The 11,564-nt window shown below is 45.2% G+C and overlaps 1 protein-coding gene across 8 annotated transcripts in view; it reads right to left on the bottom strand.

Moving 5' to 3' along the window:
- Nucleotides 1–585: 585 nt before the first annotated feature.
- NCAPH (non-SMC condensin I complex subunit H) overlaps nucleotides 586–11,564 on the bottom strand; it is a 41,326-nt gene continuing 30,347 nt past the window's right edge. For 7 of the 8 annotated variants that reach the window (NM_015341.5, XM_006712388.5, NM_001281710.2 and 4 more), the window contains 4 exons: nucleotides 10,304–10,420; nucleotides 8,614–8,705; nucleotides 8,177–8,252; nucleotides 586–4,385 (listed from right to left, as the gene is read on the bottom strand). In NM_015341.5, coding sequence (NP_056156.2) covers nucleotides 4,326–4,385; nucleotides 8,177–8,252; nucleotides 8,614–8,705; nucleotides 10,304–10,420 — 345 coding nt within the window. In that variant the 3' untranslated portion in view covers nucleotides 586–4,325. Of the gene's footprint in view, nucleotides 4,386–8,163; nucleotides 8,253–8,613; nucleotides 8,706–10,303; nucleotides 10,421–11,564 lie in introns of all 8 variants that reach the window. The other variant, XM_005263908.5, reaches the window with a different exon arrangement.

Raw genomic sequence — 11,564 nt, 5'->3', positions numbered from 1 at the left:
TTTCTGATCTAAGAAGCCCAAGAAATCCTAAGTAAATAAACACAAAGAGAATTACCCCTAGATATGTGATAGTTAAACTGATGAAAGCCAAAGATATAGAAAAGATCTTGAAAGCAGTCTGGGAAAAAAAAAAACAGCAATTACATACAAAGGAATAGTGACGAGTATATGCCTACCTTTCTTCAGAAACTATGGAAGCCAGAAGACATTGGAAGACAGTCAAATGCCAAAGGAAAAACCTATCAACCAAGCATTCTACATCCAGTAAAGCTGTCCTTCAAAAATGAAGGCAGCCTGTAATCCCAGCACTTTGGGAGGCCAAGGCGGGCAGATCATGAGGTCAGGAGATCGAGACCATCCTGGCTAACACAGTGAAACCCTGTCTCTACTAAAAATACAAAAAAATTAGCCGGGCATGGTGGCAGGCGCCTGTAGTCCCAGCTACTCGGGAGGCTGATGCAGGAAAATGGCGTGAACCCGGGAGGCAGAGCTTGCAGTGAGCCAAGACTGCACCACTGCACTCCAGCCTGGGCGACACAGCGAGACTCCGTCTCAAAAAAAAAAAAAAAAAAAAGGCAACATAAAGACAATTTTTTAAAATTTTATTATTTTTTAAATAGTTGTGGGTACATAGTAGGTGCATATATTTATGGGGTACATGAGATATTTTGATACAGGCATGCAATGTGAAATAAGCACATCACAGAGAATGGGGTATCCATCCCCTCAGGCATTTACTCTTTTCAATTACATTCTTTATTTTAAAATATACAATTGTTATTATTGACTATAGTCACCCTATTGTGCTATCAAATAGTAGATCTTATTCATTTTTTTTTCTTTTGGTACCCATAAATGATCCCCAATTCCCCCAAAAAACATTTTTAAATGAACCAAAACTGAGAATTCTACTCGAAGACCTAGATCATGGCTTGCTGCCTCAGTGCTGAGCAGCTTGGCTTCAGCCACCATGAACGGTTCCTTTCCTTGCTCCAGGACACCAAACTCGTTGCCGCAGATGCTGCAAATCCTTGTGGTGTTGAAATGACCCAGTATCCTGTGCTAAGAAGGGGAACAATGCCCCACTCTGCCTGTGATCCACTATAGTTGCACCACAGCAGAATTTCTAGGGCACCAAAGTGTTACCTGCAGCCTTTTGCTCCCCAGGGGGATCATACACTGTAGGGTGGTCTGGCCAGGGAAGTGCACCTAGCTGTACCATACTTTACTGGGAACTACAAACCCCCTTCAGATATCTGTCCTTGTTCAATTCAATTTGTAATGCCTGGTTCCCTCTTCCTTTGGATGTATTCTCTCTCAGGGCCCCACAATTCTCTCTTGCAAATTGCCCTCTCTTGCAAATTGCAAATTGCCCCTCTCTTGCAAATTGCAATTCCCTCTTGCAAATTGCAAATTCTATCTTGCAAATTCTCCTGCCCTTAAATTCTGGTTCTGTTTGGCAGAGAATGTTAAAACTTCAGTTATGGACATGGTATACGCTCTTATCTCAGGAGGCTTCTCAGCATCTGAGGCAGATACTGCTGGCTACCTCAAATTTTCTTTTAACCTTAACAGAACCCAAATTTTTAGCTGGACACATTACCACTTGTATTAGTTTGTTTTCTGTTACCTATAACAGAATACCTGAAACTGGGTAACTGACAAAGGAATTTATTACAGTTATGGAGGCTGAAAAGTCCCAGGTTGAGTCCATATCTGGTGGGAGCCTTCTTGCTGGTGGGGACCTTTGTGGCACCCTGAGGTGGCAAATATTCATATCGACCCCCAGGAAACTGATTTAACAGGGAGCAGCAGTTCTCTTTTCCCCCAGTCCTTCGTCCTGCTGCTTAGACTATGGATGTGATGGCTGGATTCCAGCAGCCACACTGAAACAGAAGGATGAGCTGGAAGGATCCCCGGTCTCTCATAATTTCATGGAACTGTCACACCAGTCCTAGAACACCTACTTCCCAAAGTATTTTATATAAAATAAACTTATCTTGCATACCCACTGTCTTAGTCAATTTGTCTGCTATAACAAAATGACTTAGACTGCTTAATTTATAAACAATAGATTTATTGTTCACAGTTCTAGAGGCTGAGAAGTCCAAGATCAAGACGCCGGCAGATTTGCTGTCTGGTGAGGGGCTCCTTGCTCACAGATGGTGCCTTCTCATTGCATCCTTACATGGCAGAAGGGCAAGAGGAACGAACAAGCTTCCTCAGGCCTCTTTTATAAGAGCACTAATCCCATTCACGAGGGATCTGCCCTCATAACCTAATCACCTCCCAAAGGCCCTATCTCTTAATACCAACATGTGAATTTTAGACACAAACATTCAGACCACAGCACACATAGCCCACAGCAACCATGTAATGAGGGAAACTTAGGAGAAGCAGGGTTGTGGGGGGAAGGGGATTTCATTGTAGAAGTTGGTATTGAACTCGCCAGTTTTTTTTTTTGTTTAAGAGATAGGATCTCACTCTGTTGTCCTGGCTGGAATGCAGTAGTGTGATCACAGCTCACTGCAGCCTCAAACTCCTGGGCTCAAGTGATTATCCCACCTCAGCCTTCTGAGTAGCTGGGATTACAGGCACACACCTCCGTACCTGGCTAATTTTTAAACTTTTTTTTTAAAGATGGGGTTCTATTTTGCCCAGGCTGGTCTTGAACTCCTGACTTCAAGCAATCCTCCTGCCTCTTCCTTTCAAAGCGCTAGGATTTACAGGTGTGGGCCACTGCACTTGGTCCCAATCTTTCTAGTTTTACTGGTAATTCAGCCCCCCACCCCCAGAACCCACTATAGAGAAGTGGGGCTGACTGAGGGAAGGAATGGGCTTAGCCAGTTCTACTCTCAGGAATAGAAGGAAAGCAAGAAGCCCAGCACTAACCTGGCCTGGGAAAGTGATGGAGGCTTCAGCCCCAGCAAGACAGAGTGTGGAGTCTCACCTGTGGCACCACTGCTTTTTCTAAGCATGCTCTGAAGTCTCTAACCTTCTCAATATAACAGAGCAGGTAATGTTTTGGACACAATTTGGAAAGCATATTCCTGTGGGGAGGGGATTATTTTTGTTTTGTGTGGTTTTTGGCTAAGAAGGAAGTTATTATCAGGAGCAATTTCCAATTATATACTTCACTGCTTCTGGCCTATATCCAAGATCTCTATTTAGCCAGTCAATGATGACGGGTGTTCTGGCAGAGATCCAGGACCAGCCAGTAACAGAACTACTTGGATCAACATCTATAATATTGTTCCAAATTGCAAGCAAAGTTAATTCCCCTATTCCTCTGAGGTTAGGGGAAGAACTTGTACATTTGTGTGTGTGCTGCATTCTGTGGAGATGGACAAATCTGAGCACTGCTCTCCACCCACTGCTGAGCCTGTATGACCTATCCAGGTAGCACATAGCACAATGGCCGAGAGCAGACTCTGGAGGCAGATTGCCAGGCTCAGGCCACCCCTGACAGTTTGCCGGCTGCCCTTTTGCAAGTTCCTCTACCTTGGGTGTCCGTTTCCTCCTCCAACATGAGAGTCACAATAGTAAGTTTCTCCTAGGGATGCTGAGAAGGCTACATGAAGCAATGTACAGAAGGGACAAGTATCACTATCAGCTCCCTCCAGCAGAATCCTGGGATTTAAGCAGGACCCAGTCTTGCATCTGAATGTCCAGTCAGCAATCTCTCTCTTCCATTCTCCTCCGAGGCAAACCATCTTGGCCCTTAGGCATCTTCTGCCTTATACTGACAGGTGTGTATCCTGGATAACAACCAGGACTGCATCCCCCTAAGGGTAAGGACTAGGTCTGATACTCATCTAGTGGACACTCAAATATTTTGCCAGTTCTATTATTAAGAATTTTATTTTTGAGCATTCTATATACATTTATAAGTGTACATATGATGTATTTTATGTACATGGATTAGGAAGTTCTTCAAGGGCACCATTAAGTGCCCACTGGAAAATTTTCTACAAGAGAATAGTTTGGAAAATAACAGATCAATTTAGGAGACTAAAACTATACATTGATATAAAGAATGGATATAGGTTTTCTCAATCCAGAATAGTACCCTCACCCCCTCTGCCCTCCCCTCTCCTAGATGGTCACCATAGGGCAGTAAAGTTTAATCAGTTGAGCACGGAGCTTCAGGGCGCTGGCACCCAGACTATGATGGAGAGAAGGAAAGAGCAACAAACAAACAGGCACGTTGGTAGTTGGCTACAGCCTGGGTATAAGCCCATGGCATCTTCTTCCCCCGAGACTGGGGATGTCCCGGCAACTGAGTAAGGGATGGGCCTCCTGCTGCTGACTTCTCCATAGTGAACTCAATCTCCTTGCCTCACAAGAACATCAGAGAGGTCCTCTGTTCCTTCCAGTTTTAGATTCTGAGGGAAGACCAAAACATGCATGGACTTTGGTATACGGAGAATAAAAGAATCATAAATTCCAATCACAGTCACAAGGTAGTGACTACAAAGAAGAAAGTTTGTCCCATGATTATAAGAAAAACTGTTTCATAGCAAGTATAATTTGCATGAAAAACCTGATTCCCAATCCTTGTTATAACAAAATGACTTAGGTGAAAAAGCAAAAAGCAAGCCTTCTCTGGCTCTGATTCCTGCAACCCACCCCCTATAAAGGGCCTAAGAGCTGAGCCGTCTGCCCTGAAGATGCTAATGGAGGCAGATGGGAGGTCATGAGGAGCCACAACACATACATATAGTCAGTCGTCCCCCCTTATCCTCGAGGGGTGTTCCAAGGCCCCCGGTGGATGCCTGAACTCATATAGTACCAAATCAAATACACATATATGATTTTTATATATATGTATACACAAATATACCTTGTTTTTTCCTATACATACATACTTATGATCAAGTTTAATTTACAAATTAGGCACAGTAAGAGATTAACAATAACTAATAATAAAATAGAAAAATTAAGTCAAATAAGAGGGAATGGAACACAAGCACTGCAGTACCACCAACAGTTGACCTGGGAACTGAGATGGCTACCAAGTGACTAATGGGAGAGCCACGTCTGCAGTGTGGATCTGTTGGACACAGGGACGGTTCAGATCCGGGGCAGGATGGAGCGGGACATGGTGACATTTCATCACACTACTCAGAAGAGTTGCAACTTAAAACTTATGAACTGTTTATTTCTGGATTTCCACTTAGTATTTTCAGACCATGGGTGACTGTGGGTAACTGAAACCATGGAAAGTGAAATTGTGGAAACAGGGGGCTACTATATTAACCCCAACCATGCATGCCTCCTCCAGGCACCCCCAACTGCCCCAATGCCCCATCCATGGAAACTAGGGGACTACTGTATTAACCCCATCCACGCGCACCTCCTCCAGGCACCCCTCAACTACCCCACTGCCCCATCTCTCCATTAGTTCCTGACAGCAGTGACCTCCTGCCAGTCTCTGCACAGGCCTTTCCCTACCTACCTCCCAGCTCTTCCCCAACCCCAGGCAGTGTTTCCCTCAGGACTAAGCAGCTATGAGACCTTTCCTGACGAACTTCACCACAACCAGCCTGCCCTGGCTCTGCACTGGAGGCAGATGGGATGTGCCAGGGCTCAACAGTCACTCGCACCTTTCCTTGCCACTAAAGACAGAACGCTCAAGTCACACCTCGCGGGTTTTCTGCAGCTCAGGTTCTGGTAGTTGCACACTGCTAACATGCAGAGACATGAAGGCAGAGGGCCTCACGTCCATCACTGGCTCCTAAGCCCCACACACTGCCTGGCTATGTGAGGGGAGACTGTTATCACAGTGGTGGAGGAACAGACTCCAGACGGGAGTGAAAGATGGAGAGAAAGAAGTCCAAGAGGAGGTCAAGTTCTGCTGTGAAGCGTTGAGAATATTTCTCTTGGTGGCTCTAAGTGTTGAGTTATCACAGATCCCTGTAGATTATAACAGTAACTGTTGTGGCTAATGTTACAAGCCCAGTTTTCTCAAACAGCCCAAAGCCAGGCCCCAGTAATGGCCTCGGTGCTCAGCCCAACAAGTCATGGGCTGTAGCCACCCACCATTCTTCAAACACCAAGAGCTCTGGGACCCTTAAAAAGAGACTTGATCACAGCAAAATGAACATGCCTGCACTGCCACTGAGAGCAGGGGTGCAGAGCTGGAGTCGGAGCAGCACGACCTCAGTGAAGCCGCAGAGTCACTAATATTTCTTAGCAGTGTTGGCCTGGCCTGACTCCTTAAGAAACAAGTGAGGGCCATGAAGCCGCTCTCTCAAGTCAGGTTTCTGTGGAGACACACCACCCAGAGAAGCACTCTGACCTTCAGGCTGGGGCTGATGAGCGAAAGCAGTAACACTCTTAAATTGGACTCAGAAGGGTTTCTGAGCTTTGGAGGCCAGCCTAGGAGCCTGATGTGCTAGGAGACCAGCACCCATGTTGGAGAGTCACCAGCACCTATTTCCACCAGGATGGTGTGCGAATGAGATTCCAGGCCTCCCCCGACACTTCTCAAGTCAGAGAGATGGATGGCCTGCACACCACCCACCTCAGATGGTATATCCTCAGCAGAGCCACTTGTAGATTTCTTGTCAGAACAATGATAATAATTTATTTTTTATTTTCTTAGTCATTCTTCATATAGTTTGCATGTGATATCAGATGCTTTAGGATGTGTCAGGTATAGGAACTACCACCTCCCATAACCACGGGCATGTCTGCCTTCACAGGCTTGTGAACAGGGCATGTCCTCTCTCCGCAGTCACCGGTCACCGCCTTACTGCCCCCCAACAGCAGCCATGCAAGTTCAGCATTCCTGGGTTAAAACCATTCCCAAGGGCTCTGATGCACAATCATTCCTTCTTGGGAACTACACTGGGCTCTTCAACTTAGGCCTCAGGTTTGAACACCCAGACTGGTGGTTACAAGCCCAATGGTCAGCACAGTAGTTGGAGACATACAGCACTTGGTCCTGGCCCAGTGGCTCTTCTACACCTGCTCCCCACCCAGAATCAAAACTAGCTTCTGCTAACTGGACAGTTTCTTCTTCTTCATGAGGTTGTCAGCTAAGCAAGGTATTGACAAGAGAAAAATTGGTCTCTGACTTCCAGTGGTAGGTCACTGGGATTGGCTGATGGCTGTGCCACACAGGCCAGGGCAACTTCTCTCCAAAGCAGAGTCAGACCTGGAAAATGGAGCCAATCCTCACTGCTCCTGATTTCATTAGGAGGCCAGAGGTCACATGTTGGCATGTAGGAAATCCTGGATGCTTCCACCAGCACCCCATTTTTGCTACCATTCCATTCCCATAATCACCCTCCAAAACCACATTTCGGCGTTCACATAGTAACTGCACTCCAGTGCCCACCCCCTCCTCCTGGGGAGTTGACAGTGTTGGTGCACACCATGGCCATGGTGCCCCAGCCCCAGGGTGGTGCTTGCCGCACACGCCATGGCCCAGCCCATAGCCCTCTACTGCACGTGCCAAAGGCTGGGCTGTGCATCAGCTGGCTGGGGACCCTAATGGATACCAAGTGTTCAGTGATGCTCAAATGTGTGGGCTTGCTGCTGGCTGCCCTCTCTGTGGTATCCCTGGGTAGTACCACTCGGCTCCTGAGAAAATGAGTGCCCTCCTCTGCTCTTTCCACAGCTGTCCCATGGCTATGCAGCTGTTGGCTGGCCTAGCACAGGAGTCTGCCACGCTGACCCAGCTGGCACTTCAGGATTCTCCTTCCTTGTGACACACAGCTTGACTTTTCTGACTGTTACCTCCATATTTTAGTACTCTTCTCTTTCTGCAACTGTTTTCTTTTCATCCTCATTTCTCTCCTCTTCTCTCTGCCATGTCTCCCATATGTCTTGACTTTGGTACTACTAGGCTTTGGCCTTTAAAGTCTTTGACACCCCGTGAAGTAAAAGCACCTCGTGTTCTTAGGCTGGGGAACTTACCGATCACAATTCCATCATCTAAAATCTTACTATTTGGGTCCTCTGTGCTATTTTCATTGCTAATCAAACCTGATGGCTTTTTCCTAAGTTACTTCTAGATGCCTGGCTAATCATTTGGGTTGAAGGTGCTACATAAGTCACTGTATTTAAGAAATCCTATGTTAGCCCATGAAAGATCAAATACAAAGCTAAATGAGTTGACATAAACAGGGAATACTCTAATACTCCCATGCTTACCTTAATTACCTACCTTTTCATTGGCTAAATGTAGGAGACAGGCAAAAGCCAGAGGTATGGAGAGGTTCTGAGCCATGACAGGGGGCAGGCTGGAAAGAAAGGGGCAAGTATTTAGGTCACTGCCAACTGTTAGAACAAAAGCTCGTTCATCAAGTATGAATAATACACACATGCAATGACTAAACTAATGAGAAACAAATCTTTCAGATGCATTTTATAAGCAGATTTTTCTAGTTTCTTATTTGAGATAAAATATCTCCTGTTACACTCTGATCACTGACACAGAAAAACGCCTTTTTAAAAGTTGGTCTGTATTATCTGTCAACACAGAGAGAAAACAGAACAGCCACTATAAATGTCATAGGAAACAGGTTGTGTGTGGAAGGCCTGCCACGCGGACAGCTCAGAGAGGTGAGCCCCAACAAAGCCCCCATGCCTGCCAGCCCGCACCTCCTCTGCAGGTCCTTCGTGAGCCCGCTAAGCATCTTCTCGTCAGCCACTTCTGCCAGGGCCGCTTCTTTTCCAGCTTCCCTGTGGTTTGCCTAACAGAAGCACATTTATACATCGGACAGTTAGGGCTAGTGCACTTTTGAAAGGGCAACAAAAATAAAGTTGTGTCACCAAAAAGTCTATACCTAAACAAAATGAAAACAAATTTCTTAGTTATTTTGAAGAAAAAGGATCTACAAAGAGAACCAGTGCCTCAGCTCTGCTCTAATGACATTGTGGTAAACATGGATGTCAACAGCCAGCATCACCCTGGTAAAGGACACACTGCAAAGAGTGTCCTAGGGTGCCCTGAAAACAAACAAGAAAAAAAAGCAGTAATAAAAAGCCATGTTTGTTTGTTTTTTTTTTGAGACGGAGTCTCGCTCTGTCGCCAGGCTGGAGTGCAGTGGCACAATCTTGGCTCACTGCAAGCTCCACCTCCCGGGTTCAGGCAATTCTCCTGCCTCAGCCTCCCGAGTAGCTGGGATTACAGGTGCCCGCCACCACGCCCAGCTAATTTTTTGTATTTTTTAGTAGAGATGGGGTTTCACCATGTTGGCCAGGCTTGTCTTGAACACCTGACCTCATGATCCACCCACCTCGGCCTCCCAAAGTGCTGGGATTACAGACATGAGCCACTGTGCCCAGCCAAAGCCATGATTATTTATAGCTCCAACTGGACTACACTGCTAAGGGCAGCACAAAATTCATATTTAAAAGTAAACTCAAACTTTCCACTTAAGACAAAGACACACACTTGCATCCCATTCTGTTCTAGTTGATAAAACTTTATAAATATGACTGAAGAGCTTTCTCTGATACCCAGCTCAGGGCCCTCAATCAACTTATGAGTTTTCATTTCTCAGCTACAGAAGGTCTAAACTCAGAATATTATCTGAGCAGAAGTCAGAAAGAGAGAAGGATTCTAATTAACTGAGACTTCCTTTCATTGAGGTGGACCAAGTTAATCAAGGTTTCAGCTTGTTCTGAAGAAGTAGAATCTGACAGTATAATAATTACTTTTCCACTATCTTCCTACTGAGAATACATTCCTGAAATCAGAATTATTAGATCAAAAGGTTTAAACATTTCATAGCATAGAGCAACTTAAATTGCTACCAGCAGTGAATAAGTACTCCAAATTTTCCTCCTCAGTAATGGAAAACAGTTTAATTACTAAAACTGCTGCTGTTTTAAAGTAGCATCAAGATTGTTTCATTTGTCTTTTTTGATTACCAGCAAGGCTGAATCACGTCTTACACACTAGTTTGCTATTTGTATCACAGTCTGTGTGACCTGCCTACTTGTATACTTGGTTCACTTCTCTCTTAGAAGCATGAAGTCTTCCTTTTATTTTTGTTTTCTTTTTCAAGATACAGGATCTCTCTCTGTTGCCCAGACTGGAGTGTAGTGGTACGATCATATCATAGCTCACTGTAACCTCAAACTCCTGGGCTCAAGTGATCCTTCCACTTCAGCCTCCCAAAATGCTGGGATTACACGTGTGAGCCACCATGCCCAGCTCCTTGTATTTTTGAACGAACATTTCTGTATTGGAGGCATTGCCCAAATCGAGGTGTCTTCAGCTGTAGACATCAACCACTCCCCTCCCGCATGCTGGGCACCTAGAGAACAGGCAAGAGCATCTGACCTCTGCATCTGCCTCCTTTCCGGAGAGCGCTGTCAGCAGACTCCACATGCTCTGCTTCAGTTTCTTCATGTCCATCTTTTTGGCAGTCTTGGCATAGTGAATTTCAATTTTATTTACCTGAAATAGGTATATGACAAAGTAAAACTAAGCAGAATAAAGAAACTTTTACCATAATTCACTGTAAAAACAAAGGTCTGGAGTTCAACTAAAGAAGGAATCCAGTTTCAACCAAGGAGCTACAGAGCTCTCTTGTTTTGTTTGTTTGTTTGTTTGTTTTGAGACAGAGTTTCACTCTTGTCACCCAGGCTGGATGGCAATGGTGCAATCTCAGCTCACTGCAACCTCCGCCTCCTGGGTTCAAGCGATTCTCCAGCCTCAGCCTCCCATGGAGCTGGGATTACAGGCACCTGGCTAATTTTTGTATTTTTAGTAGAGATGGTATTTCACCATTTTGGCCACGCGGTCTCAAACTCTTTTTTTTTTTTTTTTTTTTTTTTGAGACGGAGTCTCGACCTGTTGCCCAGGCTGAAGTGCAATAGCATGATCTCAGCTTACTGCAACCTCTGCCTCCTGGGTTCAAATGACTCTCCTGCCTCAGCCTCTAGAATAGCTGGGATTACAGGCACCTGCCACCATGCCCAGCTAATTTTTGTATTTTTATTAAAGACGGGGTTTCACCATGTTGGCCGGGCTGGTCTCGAACTCCTGACATCGTGATCTGCCCGCCTTGGCCTCCCAAAGTGCTGGGATTACAGGCGTGAGCCACCACGCCCAGCCCAGAGCTCTCTTTGGACACTATATAGAGTCCCTCATATCAAATCTAATTTCTTTTCAATCCAGTGCAATCTACATTAAGGCTAACTGGAATTCCAGTGTAAAAGAGATAAATGAATCAAATATAAAGGCAAGCATAAAGCCTGCCACCTGGTATGGAAGAGATAAATGTTTAATACATGATAATTTAATACAAACTGAATTTGGCCAAGATTTTTCAGAGCCACACAGCTAGCTAGCTAGCCTTGCTGAATTAGCATATAAATTTATATTCTCTGCCTGCAGCCTTCATTCATATGCCTTATTTGGGTGACCAGTTCCTCCCTAGTTACATGTCTTATCAAGGTCTTTGGAGAGATGGTCAGTTCCACACAAACCTAATTAGCATCAGCTCACTCCCACAACCCTATTTAAAACTTGGAGAGCAACAGGTTAAAACTGAGAAGAAAAGAAATCAAGCTCAGATTGCGTGACTCTCATATAAGAG

This window comes from Homo sapiens, chromosome 2 (assembly GCF_000001405.40).
Source record: "Homo sapiens chromosome 2, GRCh38.p14 Primary Assembly".
Lineage (NCBI taxonomy): Eukaryota > Metazoa > Chordata > Mammalia > Primates > Hominidae > Homo > Homo sapiens.
This window is presented reverse-complemented; position numbering and strand designations above follow the sequence as displayed.